At 38.9% G+C, this 19,258-nt stretch overlaps 2 annotated features.

Moving 5' to 3' along the window:
* Positions 3,061-3,230: an enhancer, noted in NCBI's record as "experimental_90370 CRE fragment used in MPRA reporter constructs". NCBI's record gives its function as "activates a minimal promoter by MPRAs in K562 erythroleukemia cells, with activity observed for both the introgressed and non-introgressed 6:137499856 variant alleles {active_cell/tissue: K562}" and the evidence as "EXISTENCE:reporter gene assay evidence [ECO:0000049][PMID:34662402]".
* Positions 4,236-5,435: an enhancer, noted in NCBI's record as "MED14-independent group 3 enhancer chr6:137500946-137502145 (GRCh37/hg19 assembly coordinates)". NCBI's record gives its function as "activates an origin of replication core promoter dependent on BRD2, BRD4, P300/CBP and CDK7 cofactors, and independent of MED14, by STARR-seq in HCT116 cells {active_cell/tissue: HCT116}" and the evidence as "EXISTENCE:reporter gene assay evidence [ECO:0000049][PMID:35650434]".

The raw sequence follows: 19,258 nt of genomic DNA on the forward strand, positions 1-19,258 counted from the left end.
TAAGCTAAAGGAACGGGAAGGTGCTTTTCTGCTTTTTATGGTCTGAAGTAGGAGTCCTGAGGGGAAGGGGCTGAGATTCTGTGGACTGTGAGGTTACTATGGTCAGATACTCACGAGCTCAGACACTCATGGGCAACAATGACCTTTGCAAAATCATGCAATGTTGCAGTCAGCTCGTCAGTTGGATAAATTAATCTGAGTGACCTAGGAATTATCTGCTTCTTAAGGATACATAGATTTCCCTGAGAAATCATCTGGGTGCTTTTGGAATTTGGGGGCAGAAAATACAGGATAGTATTATCTGACAATTTTCTAATTCTTCTATGGTAATTAGTGTGTTTCGATTTTTTTTTTATCTCATCTAGATTCAGTTGCTACAAAGTATATTTTCTTTAGAAGACTATCCTTTTTATTCATGCCTTTAAATTTATTGGTACAGAGTTGTGCAAGTTATTCCTTTATGATTTATTTAATTCTCCTTTTTCTGTGACTTCCCTTTTATAATTTTCTGTTTTGAGTAATGATTTTCCCCTTGTTTTCTTAGTAAATTGGCTGGATATTTATTTTCAAATTTCTTTTCAAGGAACTAAATTTTGTAGTTTTGTATTCTACTTTAAAAAAAGTCATGTCTCATTTTTATCTCCTTTACCTTTAAAAATTCCTTCCTTTTGTTTTTGTTTTATTTAATTTGTTGGATTTTTCAAAAAACAAAAACTCCTGAGTCAGATATTTGTTCTGTTTGTTTTATTCTTTATTTTATACCAATACAAATTTTTACACTAGGAATTTCTCTGAAATGTATAAGCTCCCTCATTGGCTCTAAAATGTGATGTTTTCTTTTTTCTTTTTTCTTTTCTTTTTTTTTTTTTTTTTTTTAGCAATTCTGCAATTTAGATTTCTTTTCCTCACCCAAGGGTTTTTAAGGAAAGAATGAAAAGCAAAAATTCCAAATGGAAGGGCTGTTTAATTTTAATTCTCATTGTTGCTTTTTCATGATATCCAGAGAAGAAGAAAAAAGATGCTTGACTTACGTAACCATGCTCAATTTGGAAATACTCTCTCTTTTTGCTTTGATTTCTGGGAGGTGGATTAGCATTTACTATTAGATTCACTATTTAATTTACTCTTTAAGAACAAAGATAAAGTGTAGCCAGACAACTGCTTAGGAGTGTATCAGTCCAACAAGATGTACATTGAGCTCTAAACAAAATTTAAAAATCTTCATGAGCCTTAGAATAAGAAAAATACCTTTTACATTTTAAAACAGTGACTTAAATTTTTTTTTTTTTTTACTGTAGCATATGAGCAGCCACCATAACTAACTTATTTTGTATTTCTAGCTTCACCTAAAGCTATTTCTGGATGTGGCTGCTAGTTTGTCAAAGTTAAATAAAGCGTGACGCATATTGTTCAAAGGCAAGCGGAAGATCTAACGTTTCTTTTTGAAATATAGGAAACTGGAGATATCAGGCAACAGTGGAAAAGCATGCACTTTGGAGAAAGGTGAAACCTGAATTCAATTCTCTCAAAATGTACTTCGAGCTTCATCCATTTGCATTGGGGTCCCCATCCTGGTACTTAAAGGCATGTAGGATGCCATTTCTCATTCCCCCCAAGTGCTCCCACACAAACCCAGAGTACTCACTAACTTCATTTGATTTCTGGGGTCTCTGGACTCCTTAACTGAACCCACTTAGACATCCCATATGCCTTAAAATAGGGGCTCCACCTCAGCCATGGGAAGGATTCCAACCTTCTTCCACATCCATGTTCCTTGCTTAGCCCAACAAGACCCTGGCAGAGGCTCCTGCCCAAGGGCCATGCTGGGCCTTGGGCTCCCCTCTCGGCCCTTAGCTGGCTCCTTGTCCTCTGAGCTGCACTTGTTCCAGCCTGAGGCATCCCTCCCTCCCACCCTTCATCCACAAGACCCCAGCTCTGCCTCCTCAATGTTTTATTTGCATTCTGAGTTCCTACTATATTGTATTCCCAAGACATATCTCTTCTAAATTTCTAAATTACAGTAAAACAACTTCTAAATTTCATGTGTGATATGGTTTGGCTGTGTCCCCACCAAAATCTTGTCTTGCATTGTAGCTTCCATAATCCCCATATATTGTGGGAGGGACCTGGTGGGAGGTAAATGAATCATGGGGGTGTTTTTTTCCCATGCTGTTCTCATGATAGTGAATAAGTCTTACAAGATCTGATGATTTTATAAAGGGCAGTTCCCCTGCACACATCTCTTGCCTGCCACCATGTAAGACGTGCCTTTGCTTCTCCTCCTTCTGCCATGATTGTGAGGCCTACCCAGTCATGGGGAACTGTTAATCCATTAAACCTCTTTTTATTTATAAATTACCCAGTCTTGGGTATGTCTTTATTAGAAGTGTGAGAAAGGACTAATACACTGTGCCTCAGTTTCCTCACTGGAAAAAAATGTATAATACTAGTCTTACCAGATAGCTAGGAGTGTCAATAAGAGAAACTTTGCCAACCATCTGCCTATAGTAGAGGCTCAGGCGCATTAGTTCTCCCTCCCATTTCTTTCCACTTCCTGCTGGAGCATGTCCCCAGGCTACCCATAGCTGCTTTAATGTTTCCCAAACTTGCAAGCAGGAATCAAGGTGTGTGGAGAGAGAGGAGTCTCCATAGGTCCCAGGAGGGAGTCATACCTGATTCTCAGTCCTACAGAGGGGAAGTTAAAATAATGGGAAATGAGCAGTTCTACAGATGCAGTAACATAGGTAGAATTGTTGAGGTAAAGTCAGTTCACTGAATTTGGCAAGCTGTTATAGCTGGTTTTTTGTTTTTGATTTTATCTAGCTTTTTGCAATCTGACTATAATCCTGTACGTTTATACATATATTTTATTGACTTTCAATCAGTTCTGGCTTGCAAGAATTTCTGCAATTCTTCTGTAGAAGTTTTCAAAATTTCTGGAATCACAGAAAACAGACATGTTTCTTTCTCTATAATACATAAAATAAATTATATTAATATTCTAGGTTATATATAATAACACATATAAATAAATATAAAATTATATTATATATAGAAATATATTTTTTATTTTTATAAGTACGTATTTATTTGTAAACTGTAAAACCATAATAAAGGAGTAAAACTGACATGAATATAAGTGAAATGGAGGGGGTTGTGTAGACAATATGTTTAGCTGACAAATATTTATTGAGCACTTGTCCTATGCCAGGCACTGTCTGAAGTTCTGGGAATACGCAGGGATTAGACAAGTTCTTGTTCTCATAGAGCTGATATCCTAGTGTCCGTGGCAGGGAGGCAGATAATAAACTGACACATCACTATTTTGTCAGGTGGTGCTAAGTGCCATGGAGACACAGTAGGTGCAGGGAGGGAGAATAATGGGAAGATACCATTGCAGGTAGGGGGTGAGGAATAGCCTTGCTGGACAGGGACATATGAACAAAGGTCTGAGTTGGGTGAGGCAGGATGCCACACAGACATTGGAGGAGGAAAATCTGAGCAGGGGGCACAGCAAAGCCCCAAGGCTGAGGCCAGATGAAGGAGCAGGAGGCAATGTGGCTGGAGAGGAGGGAGCAAGGGGCAGAGTGTTGGTGGTGAGGTCAGGGGCCCAGCAGCCTGATCCAGGGGACTTGAACAGGATGGAAGGACTTTGGGTGCGTTCTGAAGAAGGGGAAGCCACTGGAAGGCATTAAGTAGAAAAAATTGGAAGTGAGAGTAATTATATGTGAAAGTTGTTAGAGTCACAATGGAGTGACGATGAGGCAGGACAGGTAGTCAAGGAAGTAAGTGCAGTTAACACAATGAGCCCCAGTATTCGCATTGTAATCCAGCTCATGCAAGCACAGCTATCTCCTGCAGGGAATATTTCCCATAGACAGCATTTGCACTTTGATTTTACCTCTTCTCAAACGGACCCTGTTCTCATGATAATAGTAAAAAACACACCCCTAGGTGGAGATTTAAGATGCTGATGAATTATGAGATGTATGAACAAGCATGTACAGCTACTGCACATGTGCACCCAGAGGACCACCGAGGACATGCTTACTAGCAACACCTTTTCTCACCCTCTTATGAATAATCATGTAAGAGTCCCATAAAAGGATTTCTCCAGCAATAATCAGTGCTGTCCATTCAGTGGCTCATGCCTGTAACCCAGCACTTTGGGAGGCCGAGGTGGGTGGATCACCTGAGGTCAGGAGTTTGAGACCAGCCTGGTCAACATGGTGAAACCTCGTTTCTATTAAAAATACAAAAAAAGTAGCCAGGTGTAATGGCACATGCCTGTAATCCCAGCTACTTGGGAGGCTGAAGCAGGAGAACTGATTGAACCTGGGAGGTGGAGGTTGCAGTGAGTCATGACTGTGCCACTGCACTCCAGCCAACAGAGTAAGACTCTGTTCCCCCTCGGCCCCCTGCAAAAAAAAATAATAACAATGATAAGAGGCAAGATCAATGGCCACCAAAATTTTATTTTTTCCCATAGCGTTGCTGGGGTGGCATGGCTGCCTGCCCTGGGTTCATCCTGTCCCTAAGTGGAACTCCCTATGGCTGAGGGACTCAGAATCAAATGACTTATAGCCAATTAAATGTTCTAGTCCAGATGCCCAATTAAATGGGCATGGACAGACATTCATTAGCCTTTAAATTATTTTCTAAGTAAAAAGTCAACAAACAAAAAGTTAAAGGTGAGGTTACAAAACTGACTTTTCTTTAACTTCTATGCTACTGTAATCTTGGGTTTTGTTATGGACTTATAGCAATTATTTATACAAAACATAAGAATTGTTCTGAAAAAATTAAAAAATATATACCTGCATGGCTCATAACTGGAAATATTATACCAGGAGGCTTTGTCACTTGGTATCTTTATCCTTTTACTTATTATTTTCTTTTAATTCTACAGGAAGCAGTAAATTCTTTATGGTTGGAGTGGATGAAGAGGTGCCATGTAATAGCTCAGAAGGCAAAGTCCCTTGTTTTACCAGCTGTTTAGGCATCCATGTACTCATCCTTGATTTGAAGGGTTTGAGTTAATTCTATCCTTCCAAATCAGCCCTTACAATCTCACGTGCCCACCTCTTCTGCAACAGTCTCTGGGCCTAGAGGGAGGACGCTTGCAATACAGGATTTTTTGCATGTTCCCAGTGGCTCCACCCCATTCTCCCAGTGCACATGCAGGCCCTTAGTCTGAACCCACGCTACATTGATTTATTTCCCTTACTGAGCATGTGTTAAGGGATGGAATTTTTCACCATGGGCATGTTTAGGCAAGCCCCCTGTACACAATGTCCTGGATGGCATTTGGCTGTCTTCTGCCTCTATCATTCCCCCATCTAAAAGAGTACATCTAACTGCCATTAGAATAAGGATAAGAAGAAAGACAAAGACCCATCTTAACTGCTTTCTGCTGACAGAGGGCACTGTTTTGGAAAGACAGCAGTTGGGTCTCCCTCAGAGGCCTATCTAAGGGTATCTGGTAAAAGGGACCATCATTCGAGGCTCTGGTTGCATAACTGTTTGGAGTTTGAGGGCCTGAAGGCGAGAAGAGACAAACCAGGTTATTAGAAGACATGTACCAAAATGAAATGGGGGAAGGGTAAGGACAGTTCAAAAATCCTGAGGCTGCTGACATGCCCAGATAACTGGTAGCTGTAGTTGTGCCTGCTAAGATTTGGGTGCATGGGACTTGGCTTTGGTTAGCTCCCGTAGTTTATTTTCCCAAAAAAGAAACCTCTGGGTTATGGGCACCCTATTTACTCCCATTATCTGGCAGGATTTGTAGGATAATTGTTCAGAACTAGAATACTGTTCCAGATTTTTACATTACCCATGCCTTTTGTTTCTTCTGAGCTGCAGCCAGAGATCACTGGTTAGTTCACAGGAATAAGCAGGGTTAATTTAAAATGTAGGCAAAAAACTTAAAAACAACTAATGAGTCTAGAATTTAATGACAAATGTATGATAAGTTTTGAAACATAATTTCTTTCTCCCCAGTCCTCATTTTTGTTAAAAACAAATCATAATAGGAGTGAGTTGTTTGTAAAATAAACTTTAGTCTTACACTTGGTCTGCTTATTTGCACAAAGTACAACAAGAATAATTATTTTTACATAGGCTTTTTAAATTGGCTTTGATGGAACTCTGTTCCACAAGGAATTTCAGATAGGACTTCATAAAAATGAGCCCAGCCATGGGTTTGTACCCTCTAATACCTATGAGTTGGGTGAATTGCTCTCTTCTTGAGGTCCCAAGAATATGCGGTTCCTGGCCCTGTTAGAAAGTGACATTCTTTACTCACTACAGGTTAGGGAACCTGTATGGGGACTGTGTAGACAAAGTATGAGGCTGGTTTACCCAAGGGGCTTTTATTGGCTCTGCAAGTTGAGCTTGATTCCTTAAAGGGAAACATACCCTTCCAGTCAAAGTTACAGTTACTGGTTGGTAAAGTTAAAGTTACAGCTACTGGTTGCTAAAGCAACCAGTTTCTCCAATTGCATCCTGTTGCAAAAGAAAGTGGATTCTTACTGCACTGATGCAAATAACCGTATTGCCCTAAGTTAAGAATACTCACAGATAGTTTCCAAATTCTAGAGGAAGCAGGCAGAGAGAAAAAAAAGTGCTAAATTTTGTTCATAGGAGTCTGCATTACTCAATTATTAAAGATTGTGTATAGCTCAAAAAAAAAGATCAGCACTGTTTTAAGCTAAAGTTTAAAAAAGATTACTTCAATTTTCTATTAGTTCAGTCTGTTCAGTTAACTCTTGTTCTGCTTGATATTTGTGAACATTTCAGCTCTTCATGAGTCCTGTACGTTTTTCCATTATTCCAATGTCACAATCTCCAAAGTTATCAGAAACCTGCATTTGAGAGCACCTGTTACGTTTCTATAGCTGATTATAAATCCTATTTGAAGAAGATCAAAACAAAACAATGGTCTGTGAATAGCAAAATGTCCATGGTAGTTACAGTCAAAAACACAATTGACAAAGAAATTTTGTTATCTCTGTGGCTTATAATCACCTAACATAACACCTTTAATTGTGAGTGATAGCATATACTTAGATATTAGAATTTTAGAAATCCCATACAGTTTTGGAGCATATATTATTATTCACTAAAATATAACCCAAAGAAGATTAAATATCATTTTGGCAATCCCATGTACATAAATTTGTCAGGTAATCCTATTTACCTCTCTTCTGGATGCTCCAGGGATGCTAGGGGTCAGGAAAGACAACCTTGAAGCTGACATTTGATTTTGGGAAGCCCATTAAATATGTTAGAGGTTTAAAACAATGTTATGAAGTAGAATTCCAGATTACCATAAATTACTTATTTTGCCAAAATGATGACTCAAAAATTTTAAAACAAGCCAAAAACTTTTACTCATTTAGAGGGAAGACTTAGATTTCCAAAGAATTTGTCTCCTGTCTTCACTTTCATTTCCTTGGCAGTCTATCTGGAAGACAAACTGAAATATTTAATTATCCTTTACTATTACATGAAAATCTTATACAAGGGAGAGAAAGCCAAATTTTACCCTCACATTAGTTTACTATTAATGTCAACCCCAATTTTTTAATGAAACCTTATAGACAATTCTATCCAATCTTAACCAGTTTGATCATGAGGTAAGATTCCTGTAAGCCTTTTATAACCTTTTACAAATTACTAATTTACTAATCTGCTAAAGAGCAGATTAGGGCTTTAAGAAAACCTTGTTGTGCTTTCATTTCAATGCTCAGTTTGTAGAAAAACCATATAATAGAGTTTTGGATTTAATCAATGTTCACACACAGAATTTCTTTTGCAAGATTAATTTTTAGAAACCTCCCACAACTTGTTTAAACCTTTAGTTTATCTTATCTAATTTATAATAGTCCTTTAACCTTAGGCAAAAACTTACATTTCCATGCATTCTTATAATCTTTGACTAATAACACATTTTACTGTTCTTACATACCTTGCATGTAAATCTATTTTCAGTGGTCTCAATTACATGTTATAATGGTACCTCTTAGCACTTTTTAATTTTAGTTTAAAACCTGGTAAGTCGTTTTAATTACGCACTAGGTGCTGATAAAGTTTGATTCCTTCCAGCATAATTAAGGGTGTGGTTAATTCCATATGTCCCTGTGCCTTACCAAGTTGTAAAGCAGGCAGATTGAACAGTTTTCAAAGGCAAAAGAAGCCGTTTACAACCTTAAAACATTTAGCCACCTAGTGCCTGACTTGCATAATTTAGACCAGCTATTTACATTTTAAGAACATTTGCATTTTATCAATTATCTTTAAGACTACTTTTATTTCTCAGAGATTAAAGTCACAAGAACTAAAAGGCATTATAGCTTTTATCTTTCCTCCAAAAATATTTGATCTTAGTGCTGATTTTTCTTTAAGCCAATTAATTAGAGCTCTTTTTTATAACTACACAGATGGAGAAGAAGATTGAGTGTTATAAGATTTTTCATTTGCCCATCTCCTAATTGGATTCTTGGTCTCTGGGTGGGACCCTTTAAGAGCAGGGCTAAGAAAGCATGCAGTTTATTTTCTTTTTTTCTTTTTCTTTTCTTTTTTTTTGAGAAAGAGTTTCACTCTTGTTGCCCAGGCTGGAGTGCAATGGTGCGATCTCAGCTCACTGCAACCTCTGCCTCCCAGGTTCAAGCGATTCTCTTACCTCAGCCTCCCAAGTGGCTGCATGCAGTTTCTAGGGCCTAATAAACAGGCATAGCTGGAAAACAAAAACGGATTTTGAGAGCGATCTATTTGCCTCTAATTCCTGGGGTTCCATGAGGAAAACAGAGGTTTCTCCCAAAATGGAATCCATGGTGCCTTTTCTGTTTTTACCAAGCAGCCCTATGCCATCAGAAATTATCTTAGGGCCTCTCATGTGCGCATTAACACTGGCAAGACAAGGTGGAGAAAAGTAATTCAGTCAACTGAGAAAAAAATCTTTTTCCAGCAAAACAAGATCCAAGAAGAGAAAAACATAAAGGCCTTTCAAATATACGTATAGCTTGGATATCCACTTTTAATTAAGCTGAGCTCTCTTTAAGAAAGTCCTTTTAAATCCCACATTACCTGACTTCAGCCATGCCAAGCAGCCAATATTTCTGGCTTTGGAAGTTTATCAAAAGAACCTCAAGGTTCAACCAACAAGCCTCAATTAAGACACGCGAAGCACACCAGATTGGCTACACCTTAAGACCAGCCTCATAAAACCTTTTTCACTAATGGAAACTTTACAGGGAATATCAACAGTGATCCTTATCATTCTTTTCACCAGTTTACACAGGGAGAGAGAGGCCAAAAGTCTGACTGGTTAAAAAACTTTTATCCTTTTGCTGGCATGTCATGCTTCTGGGTTCCCTTCCCCTGAGCTCAATTCTAAGCCAACCAGTTTAAGGTTTGGGAAATTAACTTTTCTCAGTTTGGAGGATGCATCCTATGGGAATGTCCTTTAGTACAGGGACACAGTCACCCATCTGTGAAGAGAGGACAAAGGAGGAAAAAGTAAAAAAAGATTTTTTTCAAAGGCTCCCCAGGGGTTCAGGATGCATTTGAAAGGGGGACAGATTGAAGATGAATGGCTACTCATCTAGAAAGAGGGGAGCCAGACATCCCTGGTTCCTTTCTCTTTCTAGGAAATAGCCAGGGTATGTGAGGGAAAGAAGGAACAAGCATCCATTTTCCTTCTTCCGTCCTTATGTCCCCAAGTCCTGACAACCTCGACAGGGTGCCACCCATGGGTGCCAATACGGTTCTCACCCATGGTAACAGGGGACCTAGTGGATGGGATTATCCACTGTTACCCACAAACTGTCTTTCCCCCTGCTCTCAATAGCCTTCAAGTGCCCTAGACCTCATTTAGGCCATTGATACTAGTATGACCTTTATCCATGAAACAAGAGGCTTGGCTTAATTGTCAGGAATTAGTCATGCTCACCTATACTGTGCTTTTTAATTTTTGTTGTTGTCTGCCTCTGGATCCCTCCGATGCAGTTATCTTTCCTAGGGCTTCTACATGAAGCTTGGAATTGAGTTTGGGACAAAAGAACTGCCTCAGTAGGTGGGTGCATGGACTCATCAATCCCCAGGTGTCCCTCACCAGTCTGGCTGCTGCCGCCTTATCATAAGCTGAAGGCTAAGGTGCAACTGTGAAATTAGGTCCTTCTCAAACAAGGGAGGGAAAATGGTGTCCTGTGAATTAGGGTCCTGGTCTAATAAGATGCCTTCCAAAAGGAAGAAAACTTCTGGCACAGAGAAGACCCCTCTACCCGCAGGGCTGTGTTATTAGGTTGGTGCGAAAGCAATTGTGGTGCCCATCATTCTAAGTAATGACAAAAACCACAACTACTTTCACACCAGCCTACTAACTCATGACTTGGTGGACAAAAGAAAATAACAACAACAACAACAGCTTAAATGCAGGGCTGTGTTTACTGCTGACAAGGTGGAGAAAAGAAAAATATGCCTGAGAAATGCAAATGTATTTCTCCAACAGGCAGAGAAACTTAATTGCTATTGCACTGAGCTGGACCCCTTGGCTTGGGGTGGGGAAGACTCTGTGGATACATGGCAGGGGACACTGGCCAGTTGGCTGCATGGGGCCCAGGCCCCTGAGATCACCCTGGGGCTGGGGCAGCAGCTGTGGCTCAATCCTGCACTGGATGGCTGTTGGACACCACATGCACATGCAGCAGACAGTCATGCACCCCAGCCAGGAGGGAAGGGGGAATGGGGAGATGCTGTCTTCCTATCCATCCTACACATGTGCCTATGGCCATTGGGTTGGGAGTGGAACACCCCCAATATTGTAAAAGAAAAGATAGGTGCCATTACAATCCCCCTAAAAAGAAGGAAAATGCCATAGAAAAGACTGGGTTGGACTGAGGCCGATGTTCCTGACCCCTGAGAGCAATGGGGGGTTGAAGGGTGGGGTGCAATTTCCCCCATCCTTAGAAAACACCTGAGAACAAGAAAGCTCAGAAACAAAAGGGAAAGAAATGTTCTGGGTTCACATTTTACTCACCCAGGCAATGTCAGCTTTCTCATTATAACTTTTGGCTTTTGATTTTTTTTTTTTAATTTTACAATCTGGACAAATAGTGTTTTAAATACCTTTGTTTTAACCCCCTCAATTTCCATTCTATTTATTTCATTTCTTAACAACCATCCAAAGATTTCTATCACCCTTCTGGGGCGACTCCTTTGACTCTCTTTTGCCTTTCTCATTTTTTTTTAAATTACCTCAACATTTTATTAAGGATCTGTAAGACCCACAAGGGACAGCAAATTTGATACAACTTGTCAAACAATTGTATGGTTCTGTCGGAGAAATGTCACCTGGGATGCCTATGTAAAAGGGACCTCTTTAACCCCCAAATTTACCATGACCTGGGTAATAGGCATATAAAGTGGGAGAATATCCTGGTCATCATAAAGCCAGTACCATGTGGCTTGCTTATGAATCATATCTACTGCTTCATCTGGGTTACTCCACTTGGCATTTTATAGGGAGAGTTGGGCAGTCCCTTTCTTGGGGTAAACAGACTTTACAGTGGCATTTATCCAGTCCACTAGGGTTGGATGTTCTCTCAGGAATAACCTCCTATGCATTTGGATCACTTATACTCATTAGAGATTTAATAGTGAGCTGTGGGTCATGGATCAAACTAAAGAAGCTCTTTCACTCTGTAGCATTTAAAATTAAGGATTCTATCCTTAAATTAGTTATTTTTAAATCCATTATAGTAAAAGTGTCTCAGGAAGCTGACTATACCAATCTACAAAATGGAACAATTCCTTTACATTATAGCCTCTGGTTTTAATAGTTGTTTTGCCCTGCCCCTACATTTACTATCTTCTTGGTAACCACAGGTCTCAGAGGTAAACTTTGTTGCCCCGGTTTAATTTATATTTTTGTGAGTAGCTTGGATGCTAGAGGCTTGAGCTGAGACAGACCCACTTCTGGTCTTGGTCCACTCTTAAGGACCAACCCAACACTCTTTTACTCTCATTTCAGCTTTTACAGATAATAACCAAAGGATGAAACATTTTTCTTCCTTATTAGCTTGCCTTCCCTTATGCATTCAGGGAACTAACTCCCTGGGAGTATGAGTAGGATCCATCTCTAATTCCACTGGTAACTTTTACTTTTAGTAACTGACTATAGCCCAGCTGCAGCTCCTTAAGATGGGCAACCACATGGCTACTCAAGAGTCAGGATTTCTCATTTCACACCCTTTTATTTTTTTCTTTATCCATTTAGTTTTATCTATATAATTTTTTCCTTTATTTTAGAGTGATTCATAAATAGTCTCTAGAAAAAAATTACATTTTCTTTAGCAAAAACTAGTTCCTTGTGTTTTCAGAAACCTCACCAAAAACACCTTTTATTCACCTACTAGTTTAAGTCTTATTAACTCAAATTCCCAGTGGAAAAAAAACTCATAGGTTTACTTAATTTAAACATTACATGACTTATTAACCCAAATCCCCAGTGGGGGAAAAAAGTAACCTAGGTTTACTTAATTTAAACATAACATGACTTTAAGATTTTAAATTACTGGAAATAATTGAGATTAAATTTACCAAATTAATCTTACCAAAGATTACTAGTCATGTGAGCTAAAAGGCATCTGAGCTAGGTTCCATCAGTCTGATAAGCATTAACATTCTCCAAGCCAATTGATTAGAGCTCTTTTGTACCACTTGTTAGTGAAATATCACTTCCACATGGCACATGTAAACATGTAGATATAACAGACATATAGAAAACGGCAGGTCCAAAAGATTTTTCATTTGCCTCTTTTCAAAAATTCTCTCCCCTACTTTAGATTATTAATTTAAAAAAGTTATAAGGCCAAACAAAAGTTGAAGGAGAGAGTTACCATCCTAGGCCTTTTCAAAAGCGAAAAAAGGACTGAGATATCAATTTGAATAATTTCAAAAAGAAACATTACAGAATTTAAAAATTAAAAACTTTGTGCATTGAGTAACTCAATATTTTAAATAAAATCTTGTTCTAACCAAATCTTTAGTTATTTATTAGTGTATTTTTTTTTGAGACAGAGTCTTGCTCTTGTTGCTCAGGCTGGAGTGCAATGGTGCGATCTCAGCTCACTGCAACTTCTGCCTCCCAGGTTCAAGTGATTCTCCTGCCTCAGCTTCCCAAGTAGCTGGGATTACAGGCACCTGCCACCATGCCCAGCTAATTTTTTAATTTTTAGTAGAGACAGGGTTTCACCATGTTGGCCAGGCTGGTCTCGAACTCCTGACCTATATGATCTGCTCGCCTCGGCCTCCCAAAGTGCTAGGATTACAGGCGTGAGCACCGCACCCAGTCTAGTGTATTTTTAACATAAAAGTTCAATTTAAAAAAAAGATTATAATTTTCTGTAATTATGGACAACTTAATCACATAACATTTGTATAAATTTCTTTTTTACTAACTTTATTATGACTTACACAGACCATTCACAACATGCTTGGACTTTCTGCTTTGACCTAAGTGTCACTCTTTCTGGAATAACTCGGTCATTTTATCTTAGGACAAAAATTCACCAAACAATATTTTTCTCATACAAAATTACTTTTCTTTTAAGCTTTCTTACCAAAAATACCTCTGTATATCTATACTTTTCTTTATATTGGTCTATTTCCTGGTTCCTTTCACATTCTTATTTATACAGGACTTTTAAATAAGCTTTGAATTAGACAAAAATTATTTACCTTTTAATAAGAACATATTTTAAAAAAAGAATAAAATATAATTTTTTGAATTGGAAAATACCCAGATATTTAATTAAATATCTATTATTGAATTTAATATAATTTTATATTCTAAATTATGACAAGTTTATTTACAGGTATTTATCCCTTTACATTTACCTGATTATTTTATTTTAATATTTTATGTAGACTATGAAAACTGTGATAGTCATCATTTAAAGTTATTTCCCTGTCAATGATTTTTATAGCCTATGAAGTTCAGGTGTTTACCTAAGTAAGAACCTCAGGATTAAATATATGGTTATTTTACCAATAATTCCAAGTTTAGCTGTTTTCATTAAACCAACAATATTTGATATCTTGTTTGTCAAAAACTACACAAGCAAAGATCATTCTGTTTTGGGTTGGTGTATTAGTCTGTTCTCACATTGTTATTAAAAAATCCTGGAATTGGGTAATCTATAAAGAAAAGAGGTTTAATTGGCTTACAGTTTTACAGGCTATATAGGAAGCATAGCAGCTTTTGCTTGGAAACTTATAATCATGGTGAAAGGTGAAGGTGAAGCAGGCATGTCTTACATGGCTGGAGAAGGAGGAAGAGAAGGTTGTTGGGGAGGTGCCACACACTTTTAAACAACCAGATCTCATGAGAACTTACTATCACCATGACAGCCCCAAGGGGGATGGTGTTAAACCATGAGAAACTACCCCATGATCCAATCACCTTCCACCAGGTTCCTCCTCCAACACTGGGGATTACAATTTGACATGAGATTTGGGTGGGGATACAGATCCAACCATAACGGTTGGGTTTACAGTTTTATAAACTTTATGTCAAATTTTGACACAGAGTATTTGTCAGGGATAAGTATGAAATTGCTGATCAATAAATGCAAACAAAAATATATGTTGACAATTTATAAGACATTTCTAATATTACTTGACCAATAATTTTAAGCCAGTTTATTTATAAAAGGTTTTACTTGTCACATGACCTTGAAAAGCATTTGGGCTTATTGTTTAATGTATGAGTACCCTTCAACTTTAAGCCATTTTAGTACCTTGTGGCCAAAAACACATAATAAAATACATGTTTGTACACATAAACACACATATACACACTCATACAAAGATCCTGTTGCTTTCACTTCAAAATTTTAGCTATGAGATATTAATATAAACTTACCAGTTTGCAAAAACAATAACAAAAAGAAACGGTTGGATGCAAACAGTGGATTTTATCTCAGTAGAAATGTGTTAATAATAGCAGACAAAGCAGGTGGAAAAGAAAACAGAGATAGAGAACTTAGGAACTTTAGAGTTGCAGGTTGAACTTTAGGTTCTGAATTTTCCTTGATGTAATTTGCCCATCAGTTTAAAATGCGCACAAGAACAGACCTAATGTGTAACCAGCTGGAGTATTAGAAAACCTGGCACGCCCTTCCATTTACACAACCACTTGCAAGTAGAGGCACCATGAAACGAAATGAGGTGCCTGAGAGGCCTTGTTCTTGTTTTTCCATATCCTTAATTTATTCCCCACATATTTTCTTAAAAGGAGGAACTGAGCTGTGGCCTAAGTTTTAGTTTAGTGGGTCAAAATATGCTGATTCTGGGTGGGGCTCCACAGTGTGTCACCAGTGAGTCGTTGCCACCCTCTTATGTATCTCAGTTTCTCTCTCTGGAGGTTTAGACCTCCGAGTGCTCAAAACATGGAGTTCCTACATGAGCTTCCTGGATGAACCTTTTTAAACTAATTTTGCTGGGGGTTCCCTGTAGGGCGGCTGCATTTCATGGGGTTGGTAGTCAACCCCTTAGGCTCCACCCCAGTAACCCAGGGATGCCTTTTGGCTGGAAGGAGCAAAATGCCCTTTCTTTTCAGAGCTTAGGAAACTCAGTCTGACATTTATCTACAAAAACAACAGTTTAGTTGCTCTCACAAATACACAGACAAGCCAATCGAGATTAATTTTGGGAGAGAAGACAATGAGAAAGCTCTTTAGAATGCACCTCTGAACTAGAATTAGGATCCTAAACAACAACTTCATTGGTGGGGGCAGCGGGGTGGAAAAAGCTAAGACCAGCTGTAAACTGTCCTCAGCCACTCCTAACTTTATAGCTCTTGTCTGCCATTACACACTCCAAGGTCACATCTTCTCACAGTACAAGGTAATCTCTGGTGCCCGCAAAAGCCAAGAGGGTCAGGTAATGCAATACAGGAAAGCAGAGTTTTAAATCTAAGAAGAATCTGCCCATGACTCTTGAAACCCCACAAAGAAAACAGAACACCCCAAAAGGGGGTGGGAGTGGTGCCTTTGTTCTGAGTTCTTTAAGGGGTCTGAGACATTAGAACCCTTCTGTAGATTTTTCTTGGTACCAGAGATGGTGAAGGGGGAAGGAAAAATAGAGTGGAACAAAAGTAAACAGAAGAATAACTGTTTTTTGTTTTTTTTTTTTAAGAAAGGAAGTGAACACAGAAACCAAGCACATGTTTTTGTTTTTGTTTGTGCAGCTGCCAGGAATTTTAGCCAATTCAGAGGCCTTGTTTCCCCTAATTTGGAATTCTCATTGGAATTTGACCAAGTCTGTTATAGTTGATCAAATCCTATGGGAGAAAGATCAGAACAACAAAAACCCCAACAATATGATTACTGAGTGCTCTAACGGTAAGGAGAAATTAAAACCAGCTGCTTGTCAATTTCAACTTGTAGTCATTAAGGAGAATTTCCAAGACAAAAAAATCCCAATTCTTGCTACTTACCTAGGAATAGAGCCCTGGCACAAGATTGCTCTTTACCATCTTAGAAGCAGGAAAAATACCTGGAAAGGTGCACAGGAACAGACATAAGGTTCTTGCCTTCCCTATCGGAAACTAGCTGAAACTCCAGAAATGAGTTACCTGCTATGCATCATCATGGAAGCAGAAAAACTTGCTTTCCTTGTTGGAATCAAGTAAAACTCCAGAAAAGGAGTTGTAGAGCAAAATAAGCTTTAGATCTCGACCAAATTTTGAGAGATCAGGGATTCTCTGGAGGGGGAACTCCCAGGCCTCAGCAAATTGTCCTTCTGATTTGAGCCATAAGGATAGCTCAAGCTGGTACCAAGCACCAATAGATTCATCAAAGGTCAGGGGCACCTCCACTCAGAATCCCTTCATCACCAATTTGTGAACTCAAAAGTATCTGAGACAGATCTCAATACATTTAGACGGTTTATTTTGCCAAGGTTAAGGATGTGCCCATGACACATGTGCCCATGACACAGCCTCAGGAGGTCCTGATGACATGTGCCCACGGTGGTCAGGGTACAACTTGCTTTTATACTTTTTAGGGAGGCATAATACATCAATCAATACCTGTAAGATGTACACTGGTTCAATCTGGAAAAGCAGGACAACTTGAAGTGGGGGCTTCCAGGTTATAGGTAGATTTAAGAATTTTCTGATTGGCAATTTGTTGAAAGAGTTATGTTGTTACCCAAAGACCCAGAATCAATAGAAATACCTGGGTTATGATGATAAGGGGTTGTAGAGACCAAAGTTTATCAGGCAGATGAAGCCTCCAGGTAGCAGATTTCAGAGAGAATAGATTGAAAATGTTTCTTATCAGACGTAAGTTTAATGCTGGTCAGCTTTTCCTAAGTTCCAAAAGGGAGGAGGGTATACTGAGTTATATCCAACTCTCCCTTCCCATCATGGCCTGAACTAGTTTTTCAGGTTAACTTTACAATGCGCTTGGCCAAGAGGGGGCGTCCGTTTAGATGGTTTGAGGTGGGGAGGGCTTACAATTTTATTTTTGGCTTACATAGTAAAGGTTAATTATCTCAATACAATTAGGTCATCTTCATTTTTCTTTTAAAAACTTTTGTCTTCCTTTATCTCCCTGAATACACAGGCAGTTTACTATTTTCTCATTGCAAGACCCATTCTCAAATATTATTTTCTTTTAGAGAGACTCTTGCTGTTATTTAGGTTCACAAGATGGTGTCAGAAGTGAAATAAAAGTGGCCTCACCTCAGATGGATCAGAGGCCCCTCGAATTGAGTGAAGTACCTACTGACCCCTTTGGCCCTCACCTCTTTTTATACCAGGAAAGGGACTGGCACATCTCTGGTTATGTAGCAAAAATGTCCCATAGCCCAAGGGCTGGGGTCTGACATCCAGTCTGACTACATACCTGTGTTGTTCAGCTCCACGAATTTTCCTTAAAAAGGCTGTCTGAGAAGCCAATGTGTGAGTGTTCTCTACTACTCACCTTTTATTGGTAGATATCTGCTCAATATTTAATTTTGGAGATACATTGTGGGTATTATAACATTTTATAATTAGCTCTAGAAAGGACACTCTGGGAATGTGCTAGTCAGAACATATCTCTGCCACTCTTTCCTCTCAATTAAATATCTGACACTTATCTCCTGGGCAGAGGAGATACTGGAGCAAAGAGAGCTTGGGGTACGTGGTTAAGCCTTAAAGCCCTGTAACAGTACCAATGGAGAGACCAGTTATTATTTGCAGGGCGGTGGAAGGTAGAGTAAGTATTGCATCTCATAAATGAAGCTAACTAATGACTATACAAACAAAGCTGGCACTTATTTTCTAAGTCATCCACTTATATCCTTATCAGGCATAAGAAGTGGTACCTTAAATTGGACCCAGGCAGTAATCTTAAGACAATTTAACTTGGCATGAATAATGGTTCAATAACGTGAATTTCTGGTAACCAGAAATAAGTAGGGGAAAAAAAATTAAGTTTAGACACAAAACTGTGTTGGAAAGATGATGCTTTAATTTTTTTTTTTTTTTTTTGAGACGAAGCCTTGCTCTGTCACTAGGCTGGAGTGCAGTGGCGTGATCTCAGCTCTCTGCAACCTCTGCCTCCTGGATTCAAGCGATTCCTGCCTCAGCCTCCTCAGTAGCTGGGACTACAGGTATGCACCATCACGCATGGCTAATTCTTGTGTTTTTAGTAGAGACGGGGTTTCACCATGTTGGCCAGGATGGTCTCAATCTCTTGACCTTGTGATCCGCCTGCCTCGGCCTCCCAAAGTGCTGGGATTACAGGCATGAGCCACCGCACCCAGCCAATGCTCTTACTAATTAACACAAATGGAAGCAATGACTCTTAAGAGCCAAAAGATAGAGAGAATGTAATCCAACCCTCTCATGAGGCTAAGCGATTTGCCCACAGCCACCAGGTTTGGTCAATCACTCTTGGAAAATAGCGTATACCAATTCATCAAAGTTTGAGGACAAGGGAATAAAAAACAAAATATAATATTGGTGATGAGAAGGCAGGATTACTCTTATTTATAGACAACACGTTTGTACACTGGGAAAACCAATCAACTAAAAACCATGAAGAAAAAACAGTTTAGATGTTGGCTAGATACAAAAACAACTTGTAACAATAGTTTGTGTGTGCGTGTACATATAGACAGCCATTCAGGAGCCACAATGCAAGATGACATTCCCATAGGCAACAAAAAACATAAAATATCAAGGAATACACTTAGTAAATTT

The sequence above is a fragment of the Homo sapiens genome, chromosome 6 (genome assembly GCF_000001405.40).
Source record: "Homo sapiens chromosome 6, GRCh38.p14 Primary Assembly".
NCBI lineage: Eukaryota > Metazoa > Chordata > Mammalia > Primates > Hominidae > Homo > Homo sapiens.